This window comes from Homo sapiens, chromosome 14, assembly GCF_000001405.40.
Source record: "Homo sapiens chromosome 14, GRCh38.p14 Primary Assembly".
Lineage (NCBI taxonomy): Eukaryota > Metazoa > Chordata > Mammalia > Primates > Hominidae > Homo > Homo sapiens.
The window spans coordinates 64016360-64037039 of NC_000014.9; the positions used below are offsets into that span (position 1 = coordinate 64016360).

Sequence of the window (20680 nt, forward strand, 5' to 3'; positions counted from 1 at the left end):
ATTATGCTTTGTTGGGTATTGTTTTTAAGCTCAATATCCAACAATAGAATTGTGATTCTTAGCTGTTTGTCTATATCAAAATATCAGAAATAACTTTCATATCTTTTTTACAGATTGAAATTGTCAAAGAAGAATTTAATGAGCATTTAGAAGTTGTAGACAAGATAAACCAGGTCTGCAAAAATCTACAATTTTATCTAAATAAAATGAAAACTTTTGAAGAGCCCCCTTTTGAAAAAGAGGCTAATATTATTGTGGATAGATGGCTTGATGTAAGTGATAATTTCATTGATTGCAAATTTAATTTTGTTTCCAATATTTTGGTGTATCTTTAGTATTTTTATTTAATTCAAGATTCAAAAATACTCATTGTAAAAATGTTCAAATTATATAAAACTTAGGAATTAATTTTAACCCCAGAGTTGGGACTACTAACAGATGGGTTCATCATCTTGTACATATAGAAATACATACTTGGCTTTTTAAAAATAAGTTCTTTAATATATTGCCTGTTCATGCAGTATACTGATGTTTAACTACATATTTAATATAATTTTGGTTGAGTAGTAATGATATTACTAGTTTTTATTAATTAGAAACTAAGAACTCATCTGCATTATATTTTCATCTGGGTTTTTAAAAGTACCATTTAACAAAAAAAAATGTGGTTTAGAAATGAAGAAGACTAGACCCAGCATGGTGGCTCACATCTATAATCCTAGCACTTTGGGAGGCTGAGACGGGTGAATCACCTGAGGTCAGGGGTTTGAGACCAGCCTGGCCAACATGGTGAATCCTGTCTCTACTAAAAATACAAATATTAGCCGGGCATGGTGGTGCATGCCTGTAATCTCAACTACACGGGAGGCTGAGGCAGGAGAATGGCGTGAACTCGGGAGGCGGAGCTTGCAGTGAGCCGAGTTCGCACCACTGCACTCCAGCCTGGGCGACAGAGCAAGACTCCATCTCAAAAAAAAAAAAAAAAAAAAAAAAAGAAATTAGGAAGACTATTGATTTCAATTGCATATAAGCTACAGCAAATCAGGTAAGTTTTATTTTTATTTTTTAAGAGAAAGAACTACATGATATGTTAAAGCAAATTTTTGTTGATGAATAAAGCAGATTATCCAGTAATAGTAAACTAAAATTTTATTTTAAAACAGTGTTTGGCTGAAACAGTGGTTTTCAGACTTTTCACTGCTACATATGTTGTTTCTCTTTTTAAATTATGGTAGATAAATGAGAAGACAGAAGATTACTATGAAAATCTTGGTCGAGCTCTAGCTTTGTGGGACAAACTTTTTAACTTAAAAAATGTCATTGATGAGTGGACAGAAAAGGCCCTTCAAAAAATGGAATTACATCAATTGACTGAAGAGGACAGAGAAAGGCTGAAGGTAATTTAACAGATAAAATACATGCTTTTCTTGGTACACAATTGACATTTTTTATTTTTTATGAATATAGTCAACAAACATTAGGATGCTCATATGTGACTTTGTTATCAAGAAAATCACAGACATTTTTGGATCATTATTCAGTTGTTGAATCTATTACCCTTACCAATACTTTGAAAGTATGGGATTTAGTAAGTCTATTGCTAGATCTTGTTATATAATGGGGAAACGTGCTAGTATTACGTATCACAAATTGTTTTTAATATTTTGATAACTATCATGTAATTGTTTTCCTTTGTAATTCTACCTTATTTAGTTTATGCTTTATTTTAAAATTGCTATTACGCAAGGGGTCTGTAGGCTTCACCAGATTGCCAGAGGGATTGGTAGTATGAAAAAGATGAAGAATTCCTAGCAAAAGCGCCAACAAAATGCATAATTGCTCCCGGGTAGCAATACAGACCCCAGGGGTTACCAGACTTTTTCTTTTCTCTTTTTTTTGAGGCAGAGTCTCGTTCTGTCACCCAGGCTGGAGTGCAGTGGCACGATCTCGGCTCACTGCAACCTCCGCCTCCTAGGTTCACATGATTCTCCTGCCTCAGCCTCCTGAGTACACTGGGATTACAGGCGCACACCACCACACCTGGCTAATTTTTTGTGTATTTTTAGTAGAGACGGGGTTTCACTATGTTGGCCAGACTGGTCTTGAGCTCCTGACCTCGTGATCCGCCCACCTCGGCCTCCCAAAATGCTGGGATTACAGGCGTGAGCCATCATGCCCAGCCAGCAGACTTTTTCTTAAAGGGCCATATAGTAAATATTTTAGCCTTGTGGATCATTTGTTTCTGCCACAACTGTTCAACCCTGCTGTTGGAGAATTGAAAACAGCGAGAGACAATATAAATGCTTGAAAGCAGCTGGTTTCCAATAAAAACTTTATTTATAAAAACAGGCTATCAGCTCTCCGGCTATAGTTAACCTCCGATCTAGACCATGATTTTAGACGGCCTTCTTCATATTTGAATTAAACAATGCCTTATAAAGATCAGAAAAAATACATGGCTGAGTATCACCATCTTTATAGAGCTTCAAGAAAAGCTACTTTTTAAAACAACAGTCTCAGGTTGTGGCATCTGGAAAGAATCAAAGTTATTTCTCTTTCAACTCTAGGAAGAATTCTTCCTAATTGCTTGTTTACATATTATTTGTTTGTATCATATAAATTTGTTGTCAGCTGAGTGTGGTGGCTGACACCTGTAATCCCAGCATTTTGGGAGGCTGAAGCAGGTGGATCACTTGAGGTCAGGAGTTTGAGACCAGCCTGGCCAACATGGTGAAGCCCTGTCTATACTAAAAATACAAAAATATTAGCTGGGTGTGGTGGTGTGTGCCTTTAATCCCAGCTATATGGGAGGCTGAGGCAGGAGAATAGCTTGAACTGGGGAGGCAGAGGTTACAGTGAGCAGAGATTGCACCACTGTACTCCATCCTGAACGACAAAGGGAGACTCCGTCTCAAAAAAAAAAAAAAATTTGTTCTCTTGCTAGGTCAGAAAACAGCCAACTGTTGCCAGTTATATGTGGTTCAACGTAACATAAAAATGTATGCTAATGCCTCAGATCTCGTTTTGTCTCTAACTATTTTATTTACTTTTTAATTCATGTATTTATTTTTACATATTTGGAAAAAGTTTTTGAACTGTTTGGAGATTTCAAGTTTCCTGGATAAATGATAATAGGTATTAAGTGAAACTATGATTTTCTAAGTATAAATGAATCATTTCTAAGAGTCCTTTAAATTTGTCTTGGATTACAGGTTGTTTAAAAATCTGAAGTTAAGAATTGTAAACTGACAGCTGTGGGCCAAAATCTGCTAAAATTGTGTGTCCGTGTGTGTGTGTGTATGTGTGTGCATGCGTGCAGATGCGCACACACGGGGTATGCAATTTATAAATATATTTATGAAATTGAATGCTTTAAGGCAGACCGTGCATTCTCTTGTGGCACAGGCCTAGCCTTTCTCTTGTCTTATACCTAGAAAGACGCTTGGTTGTAGCATTTGCCTGACCCCTGAAGGCACTTGGATTTGTAACTTCTAGGACTCTGACAAAACACACATGATTATGGGAAATTCAAGGGCTCTCTCAGTTTCTATATATAAACAGTAGTAATTATGGGTATCAGAAAATAAGGTATGAAATAAAAAGACACTATCCTTTAAAATTACATGTTTTAGGAAGAATTACAAGTCCATGAACAAAAAACTTCAGAATTTTCTAGAAGAGTGGCTGAAATACAGTTTTTGCTCCAAAGCAGTGAAATACCTCTTGAATTGCAGGTAAGAATTTTTATTTAAAAGTTTCAGTTATTGAGGCTTCAGTAAGCCATAATCATATCACTGCACTCCAGCCTGGGCGACAGAGCAAAACCCTGTCTCTAAAAGAAGAAAAAAACGGCCCAATTAAAGATTCTCTATAACAGGGGTGTCCTGTCTTTTGGCTTCCCTGGGCCATATTGGAAGAAGAATTGTCTTGGGCCACACATGAAATACACTAACAATAGCAAAAAAATTTCATAATGTTTTAAGAAAATTTAGGAATTTATGTTGGGTCGTGGATTGGACAAGCTTGCCCTATGGCCTCTAAAATAATGCTTAAAAATCATGCATTCTAAACATAAAGCCTAAAATAAAATTAGGATCATTTATTCAATTCCTATGTTAAGTCCCACCAAATTTCTAATAGTTGGTATAGTTAAATATATTTATTCCATATTTAGCGTCAATGATATTATATTTTTGTAGTCCTTTATTTTCCCCTCACCTATTTCACAGGCCTCACTCAGGTATGGAGGGCAAATGTTGCCTGTGCATCTGTGTAAAGTAATGATTATTTTCTATGTGTTTCTTGGGTATAGGAAGGAGAATTTCACTCAAGTCATCCTAGGTTTATTATTTGCTAGATGGAGAAAGAGAGAGATTGCCCCAAGTATGGTTTTCTGTTGTGTGAAGAGATTTGTTTTTGTTTTTCTTAGATCTAGGTACATAGTGGTTGAATATGAGTGCTGGAGTTAAGACCTTCTGGGTGAGGTTCCGGCTGTACTACCTACTAGCTTTATAATCTTGGACAAGTTACTTAACATTCTTAAGCCTGTATTTTGTACACAAAGTGCTTACCACAATGCTGTGTACATCATAAATACTCAATAAAAAGCAGGCTGTTTAATTTTTTTCCATATATTTTTCTTTATATTTTATGTCATGAGCACCATGAGACAGCACCTTAGTTGGTATGCTAGATTAAACTTGTGTTGAGGGGAAGGATCAAGTTTGTCTCTTAGAAAAAAATCAGAATATCCATTTCAGTTTTTTTTATGTTATGCTTTATCCTTTAAAGGCAAAATTCAAATTGTATCAGTGACATAGAAAAACGTAGAGCAATGAAAAGAATGCATTTCACATTGAAATGAAGTAATCTCAACCCATTCTCTAGCAATGCAGTTGTCTTAAATCTAGTTAAATAATGACTGTTATACAACTTCATATATTTCATGATTTCAGGTCATGGAGTCCTCTATTTTGAACAAGATGGAACATGTACAGAAGTGCTTAACAGGAGAATCCAACTGCCATGCACTCAGTGGCAGCACTGCTGAGCTAAGGGAGGATCTCGACCAAGCCAAGACCCAGATCGGGATGACTGAATCCCTCTTAAAAGCCCTGTCTCCTTCTGACAGCTTGGAGATCTTCACTAAACTAGAGGTGCTACCGAGCTGCTTGTCTTCTGTGGTTCAGATTTATTTTCACACTATTTGCAGTTGTCTTGAGCTCTTAGAGTTAATAAAAATAGAAAAAAAAAGTCGAAGAAGAAAACTCAGAAAAACCGCTTTTGTATATTTAGCATTTTCATCTTTGAATTGCTTTGTGCATGATAATTATTTGATATTAACTTGCATTGTATCATACATTTACTAGCAAAGAGAAAGTGAATCCACTCAACAGAGAGTCATTGAGATTTTTACAAAACAATTGAGATCTAATATGCTTTGTGTAATTTGAGCCTGTTTTAAGATTTAATGGTTGTTGTTTGTTTATGCATTTAGGAGATACAACAGCAGATTCTACAGCAAAAACACAGTATGATATTACTTGAGAATCAAATAGGTTGTCTGACTCCTGAACTCTCTGAATTGAAAAAGCAATATGAAAGTGTCAGTGATTTATTTAATACCAAAAAAAGTGTTTTGCAAGATCACTTTTCTAAGTTATTGAATGGTGAGTGCAACATTTCTCTTATTTTGTTTCTGGGACTCTTGAAGTATGAATGTAGTACTGTGAACACAAAAGCTAATCTAAGCCTGACTTAGAGATGGTTTGCACAGACTACATTCAAGGAAATAATAATCAGATAAATCTTTTGGGAGCAAAGACTGATTTATGCTTGACATAAATAACACCTAGTTCTTGCAAGCTCCAAACCTTTATTTCTTTCTTGAAGGTAAGTCACTAAGGTCCTAGTGTTTGACCTGCTCATTGTGGTTGGTGAGTCTGGGGAAATACTGGTGCACAAGCGGTCCAGGCAGTGTCTTTGAGTGTCCTGTATGCTTGGACGTTTGGTATAGAAAATACACTACAATTATTTGATGAATTGTAGTAAAAATACTGGAGGCATAGAACTGTATCTAAATAAATAGGGAGGCCGGGCGCGGTAGCTCACGCCTGTAATTCTAGCACTTTGGGAGGCCAAGGCGGGTGGATTGCTTGAGCTCAAGAGTTTGAGACCAGCCTGGGTCTCAAACCTTGGTGAAAGGTTCACCAAATTTATGGTGAAACCTTGTCTAGGCTTTATTAGCCCTCAAAATTGGGTTTCAGAGGTTATTACCACTTTCACAACGATGTATATCTATGGCATGGGAAACAAGTTTCAAAATCTCTCACTTTAACAAGATGTATGAAGTCTTCCTTGAATGAATAGAGCTTTTTTTTTCCCCCTGCAGATCAATGCAAGAACTTTAATGACTGGTTCAGCAACATTAAAGTGAACCTTAAGGAGTGTTTTGAATCATCAGAAACAAAAAAGAGTGTGGAACAAAAGCTACAAAAACTTTCTGTAAGAGATATATGTGTATTTTTAATAAAAATTTTCAATACTAAAATACTGGAGGCATAGAACTGTATCAAAATAAATAGGGAGGCTGGGCATGGTAACTCACACCTGTAATCCTAGCATTTTCGAAGGCTGAGGCTGGTGGATCACTTGAGCTCAAGAGTTCGAGACCAGCCTGGGTCTCGAACTTTGGTAAAAGGTTCACCAAGCTCATGGTGAAACCTTATCTCTACAAAAAATACAAAAATTAGCTGGGTGTGGCAGCAAGTACCTGTAGTCCCAGGTGAGAGGATCGCTTGAGCCTGGGAGGAGGAAGGTGTAGTGAGCTGAGATCATGCCACTGCACTCCAGCACTCCATCCTGGGCGACAGAGTGAGACCCTGTCTCAAATAAAAAAGAAATAGAGTAATAAGTACTTTGACTTACTGATATTTTCACATGAGAGATAATATTCCCAAATAACTTGGCCTTTTTCCAAATATTTAAGACTCTATTTATTGGGTGTGTGTACAAATGGCTTACAGAATCTCTACTTTTACATATATTCTAAGATGCTGTTTAATTTAGTGTCCACTGGGGAATTCAGTTGTGTTGAAATCATATTTGATAAAAAATAAAGACCTAATTTGGACTTTAAAATCCCCTTTCTTGAAAGAGGTATTTTAACTTGTTTATACATCTTTTTCCAGTTATATTTCTTTTAAAAATTGCCGCTGAACTTCAGTACATTTCTGGTTGGAACGTAGTGGAGGATATCCTGAAATGAAAGGCAGAGTTCACGGGGGCGTATGAAAGGCCTGTGGTACCCTAAAATCTTGATCACTTTAGGGTAGACTATCTATTACTTTAATGTTTTGATGATAAGTTATGTTTTTAAGCTTATCAATGGCACTAAATGTTCACTGTTTAATTCCTTGCTTTGATGGTACCATTCTTTACTGATAGAATCACCCCTCTTCTAACAATTTGAAGTCTCATCTTTTTTTGTTTGCTTGTTTGCCTTTAATTTTGCCCATTGCATGGGCCTTAACAATTGATGCCCAAACCTTGAAACGTAAACATTGAGATAAAATTCTTATTTGGGCAACGTTAAATAGAGAATAGTCTGTGGAGAAGTTGGACGTAGCCAGGATAGGAAAATGTAGCTGTCCTGGTCTTGCTCCTGCTGATCTTCCTGGTGGCTCTGTGTTACTTTGCTTGATGTAATTCCCAAGAAGTCAGAACTATTATAAATCATCTGCCATTGGAGATAGCCACATCTCCATCACCCTTCTTTCGTATAGGATCTTAAGAAGGTGGTATGTCTGTGTACTGGTTTGGAAAAGTGTCGTGAGGGTGGCAGAGACCACATTCAGACTTGCCAGGAGATTGTAATGGACTTTTTGTCTTTCTGAAGGATTTCTTGACTCTTGAAGGAAGAAACAGTAAAATAAAGCAGGTGGACAGCGTACTGAAGCATGTGAAGAAGCATCTGCCCAAAGCACATGTGAAGGAGCTTATCAGTTGGCTCGTGGGTCAGGAATTCGAATTAGAAAAAATGGAGTCCATATGCCAGGCTCGAGCAAAGGAGCTTGAAGACTCCTTGCAGCAGCTACTGAGGTAGGAAATAAAGATGATATCTAAATAACATGTTTTCTAACCATATCTTTATTTGTACTCTGCCTCAGCGCAGAGAGCACTGGGATACGCAGTACACACAAATTTCACACACAAAAGGCGTACTTTTCAATCCAGGTTTGGTGCTAGAAATATAAAAATTCGGGAAAAATCTTCACATTGTCTAATGTAGCAAAGGTTCATGGGATAGTCTGAAAAAAGTTTTCTGTTTCCTGTTCTCTATGAGACATTTGTGTGGTTTTCTTTAATACTATAGAACCCCGCTATCATACAGGCTGTTAATTAGATTTTTTATATTACAAATTAAATTCTCTCTAAATTATAACAAACATATTATAAAAACCTGGTTGAGTCACAAGGTTTGTGCCATCCTTTTCTTTGGTATAAACACTTTTTGCTTATTTTGTATTTAAACATGTGTAATGCTCTTTTAGACTCCAGGATGACCATAGAAACCTGAGGAAGTGGTTGACTAATCAAGAAGAGAAATGGAAAGGAATGGAAGAACCAGGGGAGAAAACTGAGCTGTTCTGCCAAGCTTTAGCTAGAAAGAGGTATAGCTGATCTTGTATGAAATACATTACCTGAGATTATGGTTTCTTCCATGGTGTGGTTACTCCTATAAACTTTAAGTGGTATTTGGAATTTACAGGGAACAGTTTGAATCTGTGGCCCAATTGAACAACTCTTTGAAGGAATATGGGTTTACTGAAGAAGAAGAAATAATAATGGAAGCAACATGTTTGATGGATAGATACCAGACATTACTGAGACAACTAAGTGAAATCGAGGAAGAGGATAAGTTACTACCCACAGAGGACCAGAGCTTTAATGATCTTGCACATGATGTAATTCATTGGATAAAAGAGATTAAAGAGTCCCTTATGGTTTTGAATTCATCCGAAGGCAAAATGCCACTTGAGGAAAGAATCCAAAAAATCAAGGTATAACTATGGAAACTAAATTTCAGAAGTCTGAGTGAACTCTAGTTTTGAAAAGATTTAGAGGAAAACTGTAAAGATGTGCTTCTTAATGGAAAATCAGATCACTGTGGAATGGTTGAAGAAATTCAGATCACTGAGCTTACAAAAAAGAAGGGTTGTGACGGATCTAAAATTACTTGGATGCACATGAAAGACAGAAAGCATGTCCTGTCTTAGAGAGAGCAGTGTGCCTATTGTCCGTCTTCAATGAGTGCAGAAGAATTGAAATAAAGACAATGAATCAGAGCTGCTAGTGGGAGGGAGTTTGCTAGGATGTCAAAAGAACATATGTCAGTATAGCAGAAGCATCAGCAATGTCGAGGCAGGGGAGTTCTTCAGAGTGGATGTGTATGGTTCATAAAAGTTTATTAGATAGTGGGAGGGGAAAGCAAGGAAGTCTCAAGCTCCCTTGGGCTCCCTTTTTATCTAAGGGGAGATTCAGTAAACATTTTTAAAAATTAAAATTTAATTATAATAAATTTAAAAATTCAATCACTAGATAAAAATACAGGGGACAGAAGCACTTGTGTTTAAAAGGAACTGTAGGAGAACTGAAATCACATTCATTGAAGCATTCTTAGAGGAAGAAATGGCCAAAAATCATGAGCTCTTAAGGTTGGTGAGACTTAGTAAATAATCAGAATCATTTGGGATTATATCCAGACGTTTTCCCAGAGAAAGTGAGAACGAGAATTAATTATGTCATGGTAGAGAAACAAGAGTTGACATGAGGGACACTGTATTTTCCTATGGGAAGTCATAAGTCTATGCTTAGGTTATAAAAATGTCTTGTCAGATTGTTATCATAACTCTCCATCCATAAATAATAGAGTGGATAGGAAGAGGTTTTGCCAGGGTTTTGGGGGCATAAAGGAAGTATTGAAAATCTAGAGAAGAGCAGGAATGCAGTCAGCTCAAACTGACAAATATTTATGGAGAACTATATATAATGTGAAGAGAGATATCTTTGTCTTTCGGGTACATATAAAAATGAAAAGATTATGTTGAAATATACCCTACAGATAGAATCTCTATATAAAGCTTACAAATAAAGAGATAGCATGTAGTATCTCTAAGTAATGCAAATGACATTATAAAATCTCTTTTATTTAATTCAGGAAATCATTTTGCTGAAGCCTGAAGGGGATGCCAGAATAGAGACCATCATGAAGCAGGCTGAGAGCAGCGAGGCCCCGCTGGTTCAGAAGACCCTCACTGACATCAGCAACCAGTGGGACAACACACTCCATTTAGCTAGCACCTACCTAAGGTAAAGGGCATGCCTGCACCACTTGCATCATATCCCATTGCCCAGTGAAGCCATAACAAGTATGTTTTGTCTGCCCCCTGGGTTTGGATATAATATCTGCTAGAGAGAAAGTTGGTAATGTCAGGGACATCCACAGTGTCAAGAGACAGAAACCAAAACCAGATAACCTCATTATCTGCATGGTATCACTGTAGAATAATTAATGCTCTTAAATATTTATTTTAAGAAATTCTTAAATATGTGAACATTGATAAATGTTGGCTGAATCCAATGGATGTAATTCTAGTGAAAATTCTTAATTCATATCATGTCTACAATGGTACATTTAATATTTAGAAATGTGAATTTTATGTTTGAAGAGCCAATCAGATCTTAATTTTAAGCTATAAAAGCATAAACTAGTTAGTTGGTTAATATACGGAATGTTTGTTTTACTTTATGAAGAAGTAAAGTATGGGAAAATATAATTAGTAGAAACTGTTGGGACTTGTTTGAAATCTAAATTATTAAATATTCTCTGGTCAAATTATGTAACAGAAAACAATTATTTTTTAGTAATACTCAAATAATTTCTGTCTTGGTTTCTGAGCTAAACAGTGTTATTTACAGTGTTCTAATATCAAAAGAGTCTCTGGGAACAATGTATATTAGTGTTATTTTAATGTTTATTAGGATGTGTGTTACATAATATGCAAAATGCTAGTCCATTTTGCTAAATATCATTTAATTTATAAAATATTTTGTGAAATTTAGCCATCAAGAAAAGCTTCTACTAGAAGGAGAGAAATATTTACAAAGTAAGGAGGATCTGAGATTAATGCTCATAGAACTAAAGAAGAAACAGGAAGCAGGCTTTGCTCTACAACATGGTCTGCAGGAGAAGAAAGCTCAGTTAAAGATTTATAAGAAATTCCTCAAGAAAGCCCAAGATTTGACATCCTTGCTAAAGGAGTTAAAATCTCAGGGAAACTACCTCTTGGAGTGCACTAAAAATCCCAGCTTCAGTGAAGAGCCTTGGCTGGAAATAAAGCATCTACACGAAAGTCTTCTTCAACAACTGCAGGTGAGGTGGTCAAAATAATGCTTTAAATGATTGTTCTAATTATACATAAGTATGCAAGACATATGTGGAACTATCTGTTGTTGTTGTTCATTTTGTTTTGTTTTATTTTATTTTATTTTATTTTATTTTTTTGAGACAGGGTCTCACTCTTTGCCCAGGCTGGAGTGCAGTGGCATGATCTCAGCTCACTGCAGTGTCAACCTTTGAGGGCTCAGGTGATCCTCCTGCTTCAGCCTCCCGGGTTGGGACTACAGGCATGTGCCACTACACCTGGCTCATTTTTGTATTTTTTTTAGAGATGGGGTTTTGCCATGTTGCCCAGGCTGGTCTTGAACTCCTGGGCTCAAGTGATCCTCCCGCCTTGGCCTCCCAAAGTGCTGGGACTACAGACGTGAGCCACACCTGGCCTGTTGTTGTTCTTTTGGTAAACTAAGAGCTTTCTAATTTGATTGATCCTGTTTATTTATTTATTTATTTTTAGAGACAGTGTCTTTCTCTGTCACCCAAGCTAGAGTGCAGTGTTGCAATCATAGTTCACTGCAGCCTCGAACTCCTAGGCTCAAGCGATCCTCCCACCTCAGCCTACCTAGTAGCTAGGACTACAGGCATGCGCCACTACACCCAGCTAATTTTTTTATTTTTGTAGAAATAAGGTCTCGCTTTGTTGCCCAAGCTGGTCTAGACCTCCTGGCCTTATATAATCCTCCTGCCTCAGCCTCTGGAATAGCTTGGATGACCTGCGCGAGCCACTGCACCCAGCTCCTAATTTATCATTTTTAGATGAAAATCCTAACTCTCAAGGATGGAGGAATAAATCCAGCTCATTTTGCTATTGTATTATTTGATGATGATATTATATTCTCTCATCAAAATTCCCCTCTTTAGGGGTAGAATGGGTTAAGATTTTTCAGGCATCTCTGTGAAGGTAACAGTGTCAATATTATCCATCCATCCATCATCTATTGTTAGTAGTTTATGTCAGTTATCTTATATCCACCTTCTTATCAGTGCCCCTCCCTCAGATCTTCCTGCCTGATCTTCAGTAAAATAATTACGAGGCAGGCTGGGCACGGTGGCTCAACGCCTGTAATCCCAGCACGTTGGGAGGCTGAGGTGGGTGGATCACAAGGTCAGAAGATTGAGATCATCCTGGCCAACATGGTGAAACCATGTCTCTACTAAAAATACAAAAATTAGCCGGGCATGGTGGCACGCGCCTGTAGTCCCACCTACTGGGGAGGCTGAGGCAGGAGAGTTGCTTGAACCCAGGAGGTAGAGGTTGCAGTGAGCCGAGATTGCACCGCCGCACTCCAGCCTGGCAACAGAGTGAGACTCCATCTCAAAAAAAATAATAATTAAGAGGTAAAATGTCAGCTTGTCATGAGGGAGTATATTCTTTTAATAGAAGTGTTTATAATTCTTTGTACACTGAAAGCCAGATTCCATGTAAACATTGCCTGGGTAAGAAATCCTGCTTGAACAGATAGCAGAAGTTGGGCAGGGGTTAAGATAGACCTGTTCTTCTGTAAATTGTTTAATTTAGTAGTTGCTGCTTTTTGATCAGCTGTGGTCATTGTATTTTCCTATCCCAGGGAGAGAAACTAAAGGTGGTTTTACTTTTGAGTTAAGATTACATTTTCCTAACACACAGGTTTGGAGTTTGATTCTTAAGACATGAATCTGAGGTTAGTTTGATCTCATATGGTCTCATTTCCAAGTGTGGAAATTGGTAGTTGGTTTTATTGCAAAGGATAATTAAGGAAGCTGCTTTATCATGAATGTTTGGGATTTAATGATACAATTTGTAGCTATTTCATTTTATAAACATCTTGACAAATAAATTATCTTCATGAAGGGGAAATGAAGGCAAAGAAGCATGGAAAAAACATTGTTTTCAATAAGAGTCATTTTTTTGCGGGGGAGATGGAGACTTTGCAGTGAAATATCTCCAACTCTAAAATCTTTAGAACTCTAATTTATAGCCGTATTCCTGTTTCAAGATGAAACTGGTAAACAAGTATTTATTAGTCATTTAATTATTTTGTGAGTGAAAACAATCAGAGAGAAATAATTTGTAAATTGTCTGTGGCTTTATTTTTAGGATTCTGTGCAAAACTTGGACGGTCACGTTCGAGAACATGATTCATACCAGGTTTGCGTCACAGACCTGAATACTACATTGGACAATTTCTCCAAGGAATTTGTCAGTTTTTCTGATAAGCCTGTGGATCAAATAGCGGTTGAGGAAAAATTGCAGAAACTGCAGGTACTAAACGGTGTCCAGACATGATAGACATTTAAAAAAAAAAATCAGTGTTAATTACAGTGTGATTAATCAGTGTCCTCTGTCAGAAATTCCAGTGGTATTCAGATGACTCTTAGGTAATTAAAGCTCTGACCAGTCATAATAAATGAGAATGTCCTTCTTTAGTGGACAAATCCATTTATAATTGGAATTGACCCTCACTTGGTGGGCCCTCAGGGACAGTTTTACCCACTAGACTGTAGCACCTTGAAAGGCCTGTATGTTACTTCTTTATGTAACTTCAAAATCTATCCTAGTACTTGGCTGTTAGTTGGATGAATGAATGATTGAGTGAATGCTTCTTGTGTAGCCCATTAGGATAACGACTGATAAACTGTACATCGTTCACCTAGATTTATTCTAGTTCAAAGTAGCTACTGCAGTACATCAAATTCCTTTTCAGTCTAGAGTTTTAAAATTAGTCATATTTGTTTACGCATTTACTATTGATTTTCTGCTATATTTAAGATAGTACACTAGGTGAATTTCTCATCAACACAAAGTTTTGCTCTGAATTTTAAATATTAGCATTAGATTCATTGGGTACATTCTAAATGATTCTTCTATTCTTTTTAATACTTCACACATAATAGGCACCTATTATTCAGTGTTTTGATTGTGTGACAAAGACGTATCTTGAACAAAACATATATATTCAACGAATATCTGTTGATTGCCTCCTGTGTTGTTCTAAATTACTTGTTGCAAACATTTTAGTATCTTAAAATACGTATTTGAGAATTTGATCCAAGATGCAGCATTGGTTTAAATTTTGCCAAAGTTTCTTCTATGTGATATGAGTTGTTAAGTTTTTAAATATTTCTACTGGTGAAGCAAGAGTACTCTGTGATTTACAAAAGTCAATTAACTTTTGTGGCAATTGAATGGAGATATAACAATCTTTTCTCCACTCGTAGGAACTAGAGAATAGACTCAGTTTACAAGATGGCACATTAAAGAAGATTTTAGCTTTAGCAAAATCCGTCAAGCAAAATACATCTTCAGTGGGGCAGAAGATTATTAAAGATGATATAAAATCACTTCAGTGTAAACAAAAAGATTTGGAAAACAGGCTTGCATCTGCTAAGCAGGAGATGGAATGTTGTCTCAACAGCATTCTCAAATCAAAACGCTCAACAGAAAAGAAAGGAAAGTTTACTCTGCCAGGCAGAGAGAAGCAGGCCACTTCTGATGTGCAGGAGTCTACTCAGGAATCAGCTGCAGTGGAAAAGTTGGAGGAAGACTGGGAAATAAACAAGGTAAGTGCTTGTGATTGCACTTTCAAGACAGTGAGTCTGAGAATGAAGAGGTATTTGGCTCTGAAAAGAGGGTCGTGAATCAAGCATTCTGATTTCATAATTAAATCCTCAATGTCCTGGCTATTTATGAAGCCTACTTGTAAAAAGAGCTCTTAGAAAATTGTCCAGGATTTCAGTGGTGAAATATTGCTGTTCAGTCTGTTAAAATGTCAGTCATCAATTTAGGTTTATTATTCTCTCTGATAGGTAATCAGATACCGTTTCTTGGGTCAAGAGCACAAAGGCAAATTAGAAAAGGCGAAAGAAAAGAAAATGTTCTTTACCTATTTTCTCAGGAAAAAAATCCAAGATCCCAATTTTTGGGGGGTTGATTTCATAATAAAATCAGAGACTGTCGGAAAGGATAGTTTCTTATCTTTTTCTTCTTGTGTTAACCCTCTGTTGTTAGATCATTTAGTGTGAGGATAGCAACATTTAGGCTCCTAGCTTTCCCTAGGGAGAAGAAAGAAGAATGTTTTCTTGTTTTCACTGTGAACAATCACATGAGTACATTTCTTGTGGCTCTTAAAGTGCGTTTTCATAGGTTACAGATTGAAATGGGAATCGCACAAAGAGAGATCCAGTAAACTGTATTTGAGAGGATCTCCCTGACACGCAGCTTCTCACAGTCAGGGTCCGGTGGGACAGTAGTGGAGGTTGGAACATTCAGGTATGAGTTCCCATCAGGTTTTTAGGGAGTAAGTAATCAACAGGAATAAAGAGAACATGCACTTTTATTGTCTCCGTAGAATAGAAATGCATGGAAGATTAAAGGAACCAGGCAGGATTTTCTAAAAATATGTAAAACAATGTGAAATGCCTATGGAGCATCTCTCTGTGAGGAAAGGTTTTTAAACAAATCCCACAGTGTTAGATATTGCTAAGGAAATGTGTCAGGCCGGGCATGGTGGCTCACATCTGTAATCCTAGCACTTTGAGAGGCCTTGGAGGATCCCTTGAGACCAGGCTGGGCAACATAGCAAGAACCCTGTCTCTACCAAAAAATAATAATATTAATAACCGGGCATGACAGTGCACATCTGTTATCCCAGCTCCTTGGGAGGCTGAGATGGGGGAATCATTTGAGCCTAGGAATTTGAGGTTACAGTGAGCTGTGATTGCACCACTGTACTCCACCCTCGGCGACAGAGTGAGACCCTATCTCTAATTTTGTTGTTGTTGTTGTTGTTGTTGAGACGGAGTTTCACTCTTGTTGCCCTGGCTGGAGTGCAATGGTGCAATCTTGGCTCACCGCAACCTCTGCCTCCCAGGTTCAAGCGATTCTCCTGCCTCAGCCTCCTGAGTAGCTGGGATTACAGGCATGTGCCACCACGCCTGGCTAATTTTGTATTTTTAGTAGAAGATGGGGTTTCTCTAATTTTTTAAAAAAGGTGATATGTCTTAGAGGATTAAGAGATCAGTGAGTGAGGCTCTTGATGTTGTATGTGTAAAAGAAACTTTTAAAACAGTATTTAAATAGCAATAGATAATCAAGACTTAGTGGCTCACACCACTAATCTCGGCACTTTGTGGGGCTGAAGTGGGAATATCCCTTGAGCCCAGGAGTTTGAGATCAGTCTGGGCAACATAGGGAGATTTCATCTCTACAAAAAAATTAAAAATTAGCTGGGCATGGTGGCTTGTGCCTGTGTTCCCAACTATTTGGGAGGCTGAGGTGGGAGGATCACATGAGCCCCGAAGGTTGAGGTTGCAGTGAGCCATGATTGTGTCACTGTGCTTCAGCCTGGGCAATAGCACAACACCTTGGTCTCTAAATAAATAAGTGATAAAGTTAAAAAGGAAAAATAACTCAGTGCTTTCTATGAGATAGGCTGTACAAAAGGGCACAGTCCTAACACATGAGCTTGCTAAAGGGAGTTACTTGCCTAACAACTTTTAAACTAACTTCCCAGATCCATTTTGACTGTGAACCCCCAAAACTCAATAGAGTATGTTGAGAACTATATAAAGATCATAATCTAAAAATAAGAATTGTTTTTGGCCAGGTGCAGTGGCTCACAGCTGTAATCTCAGCACGTGAGGAGGCCGAGGTGGATAGATTGCTTGAGCCCAGGAGTTCAAGACCAGCCTGGGCAACATGGTGAAACCCAGTCTCTACAAAAAAAAAAAAATACAAAAATTAGCCAGAGGTGGTGGCACATGCCTATAGTCCCAGCTACTTGGGAGATTGAGGTGGGAGAATTGCTTGAGCCCAGGAGGTCGAGACTGTAGTGAGCCGAGATTGTGCCACTGCACTCAAGCCTGGGTGACAGAGCAAGACCCTGTCTCAAGAAAAAAGAAAAAAAAAGGTTTAAAAAATTTATTATGCTTTTAATTAATCTTGAATGATAAGAGTTATTGATAGTTTATGATACAAATTTAAGGGTTATTGATAGTTTATGATACTTCATTTAAATGTTTTTTTCAGGGCAAATGGAGGAATTGATGTCCTCAAATAATTTTCATAAGTTTGGATACAGATAACTAGTTTTTATTCTCTAGCAACATTTTGTTGCTTTATTCTTTTGTAACATGGCTATTTTTCTGTATCTGTATGGCTTATTTTCTCTGAGTACTGGCTGTATTTTCTTGTATGTAATATTAGAGTATGTAATATTATATAACATTAGTCTATTAAGGTCAAGAGCAGTTTTAAAGTTGAACAGCAACTAGCAAAAGAGATCAGATTTATGCTTAGACTAATAAAGTACATGTATAATGTGACAAATGACATAACTGTGTTAATGACTGAAGCTGGATTCTCAATATAATGAATACGTAGGACACATAAAGGCACAGTTTACTGAATTATAAATTTGATTAATATAAAATCATTGTGATAGTGAAAATAAGCACTTTAGTCATTAAAAACACTACTTGAGACTTATTTTGTGCTAGTCATTCTGCTAGAATGTGAGGATATAGTTGTCACAGCTTAAAATCTAACACTAATTAAATTGCTAATTAATACTCACTTCACATGCCTTTTTGGAATCCAGAGAGGCTTTTATCAGATTATTTTAAATAGACCCCAGAAGAATTTTTAGAAAGTTTTTATTTCTTTTACTTTTTCTTTAGTAAATGTCATTAATCTTAGAATTTTGTTGAAAATGTGATGGCAGTTTCCAAAAATTGCCATCATAGCATGTATATATTTGAATCCATTGTCAAGAATTTCATTTCAGATGAAATGCAGGTGATTTTGTAGATCTGGACCTTTGGTTGACCTTTTCTTTAATATTGGAAATGTTCAGGCAGACCTAGAAACAAAAGAAGTTGCAAAATTCAGTATGACAGGTATTTGTGCTTATGATTCAATACCATACTGCATATTTTTATAGATGCGTATTTCTGAATTTTTACATATGGGTAGGCAGAAGTACCTTCCATCTCCTCCTTTCTATATAGGTTAAGTGAAGCAGCAGATTAGGATATGGTAAAAAGTGAAGACTGTCTAATCTCTTAGGATTTTATGTGCCCATAAAGAGAAACGATAAAGAGGAAAAACAGGGAAACTCATACATTTTCTAATTTATTATTTTTTTTCTAAAAAATCATAATACAACATTACAGCTTATCTAGTATGGAATGATCTTTCTTGCCCCATCCTTCCGAAATAGCAGCCTACATGACATAATTGCTTTTTAAAAACTGAAAACCTTTGGTCTGTAATTACTTCTTTGATTTCCTTATCATTGACGTAATTGTTAGCATTTCTGAATTGATTTTGTTCTTTTCAGAAGTTTCTGAGCATTTCTAATTTGATGTTTAAGAAGGCATTTGTAGATAAATCTTGGAAGGTACAGGCAAAATGTGCAAAGCTCTAGCTGTGGGTGAGTGACCCGGAACAAAGCCTGGAGTCAGAATTTGAATGAGAAGGAAACTACTTACTGGAGAGTTTTCAATCCTGGGGTAAATTATGTCTATTTCTGGTGTTGTTTATCCTGTTAACTCAGTAGAAAAAAAAAAGTTATAACAGAGCACATAGTTGGGCCATGTGTCAACTACAGTGTCCTACTTGCCCTTTCTGGCCAGTATGCAAATCTTGCATCTTACTGTAGAGGTATTTTCACAATCCAAAATTTATGCCTTAATGGGATAACCAACTTACATGGTACATTTTTTTTTTTTTTTTTTTTGCCATCTATAAACAACGTGCATTTGAGAACATGCTCCAAAGTTGTAAAATCTCAGGCTGAAAAAGACCTTAGAAATTGTCTAACGTAACCCTTTTATTTCAGGTGAGGGAATTGAAGTCCAGCAGAGCTGGGACTAGAACTTAGGCATCCTTTATTTATTTTTTATGAATTTTAGAGACAGGGTCTGGCTCTGTCACTCAGGCTGGAGTGTAGTCATAGTGCAGTCATAGCTCACTGCAGCCTTGAGTTCCTAACCCTAAGCCATCCTCCTGCCTTAGCCTCCTGAGTAGTAGGACTCCAGGCATGTATCACAATGCCCAGCTAATTTTTGTATTTTTTTTTTTTTTTTGTAGAGACCCAGTCTCACTAAGTTGCCCAGGGTAGTCTTGAAGTTATCTTATCTGTACTCAGTCTGATGCTCAGAACTTTTTCATTTTACAAAATGTGGTATATGGGTGGAAAATTCAGATCCAAAAAAGTTTGAGGAATGTAGGATTAAACACATTCAAATAGGTTTTCTTTACTGTGTGACCTTTTAAATCCTTTAAGAGGCTAACGTGCTGACTGACCTCAATGGACTCTTTATTGAGTTCTCATGGATACCTTGTCATATAATCCTGGCATTTGTTTCAAAGTTTCTTTTTCCTCTTTTTCTTTTTTACTTAAAAAAAAAAAAAATCACCTCCCCTATTCTAAGAATGTTTTGAACTTTCTCCACTCTTTCAGTCAAACCAAACCTGTTCTATCGTTCTTTTTGTTTGTTTGTTTGGAGAAAGGGTCTCACTCTGTCACCCAGGCTGGAGTGCAGTGGCGCGATCTTGGCTCACTGCAACCTCTGCCTCTGGACTCAAGCGATCCTCCCACCTCTGCCTCCTGAGTCGCTGGGATCACAGGTGTGCACCACCACACCGGCTAATTTTTGTATTTTTGGTAGAGACGGGGTTTCACCATGTTGCCCGGGCAGGTCTCAAACTCCTGGGCTAAGGCAATACTCCCTCCCACCTTGGCCTCCTAAAATGCTGGGATTACAGGCATGAGCCACCACCCCTGGCCACCCTGTTTCTATTGTTCTTGACAGATGTTTGGTCAACAACTGCTACATTGACAGGCCCTCAGTTTCTTTCCATTTTACTCTATAACCCACACATTAAAAAAAATTTTTTTTTAATTTTTCCCCAATCACTTACAGGCCAAAGACAAATATACTATTAATATTGGAAATGGAAGACTAAATAAAATTCTTATTCTGGTTTACATTCTCTGGTTTGAATTCATCTGTACATCTACTCAGTTTAAATTCATTGACTAGGCAGTGAGGATCCCCACATAAACATGGTCTCTGTTCTCAAAGAGCTTCTAGTCTAGCTGGGTGGATACACATTAATCAACTAATTATAGCAATGAGAATCTAATTACAGGAACCAAAGGAAGGAACCTAGTTCCATGATAGTCTTTAACCAAGGAATCTGACCTACACTGTAGTGTCAGAGAGAGCTCCCAGGAA

The 20680-nt window shown here is 37.2% G+C and overlaps 1 protein-coding gene across 29 annotated transcripts in view; it reads left to right on the top strand.

The window, feature by feature from the left end:
• Positions 1–20680, top strand: part of SYNE2 (spectrin repeat containing nuclear envelope protein 2) — a 464854-nt gene that overhangs the window by 254764 nt on the left and 189410 nt on the right. For all 29 annotated transcript variants that reach the window (XM_047431152.1, XM_011536576.3, XM_047431149.1 and 26 more), the window contains 13 exons: positions 114–272; positions 1236–1397; positions 3633–3734; positions 4956–5156; positions 5498–5669; positions 6392–6504; positions 7898–8100; positions 8553–8672; positions 8771–9062; positions 10220–10371; positions 11125–11434; positions 13536–13700; positions 14657–14998. In XM_047431152.1, the coding sequence (XP_047287108.1) occupies positions 114–272; positions 1236–1397; positions 3633–3734; positions 4956–5156; positions 5498–5669; positions 6392–6504; positions 7898–8100; positions 8553–8672; positions 8771–9062; positions 10220–10371; positions 11125–11434; positions 13536–13700; positions 14657–14998 (2493 nt within the window). The remainder of the gene's footprint in view (positions 1–113; positions 273–1235; positions 1398–3632; positions 3735–4955; positions 5157–5497; positions 5670–6391; positions 6505–7897; positions 8101–8552; positions 8673–8770; positions 9063–10219; positions 10372–11124; positions 11435–13535; positions 13701–14656; positions 14999–20680) is intronic.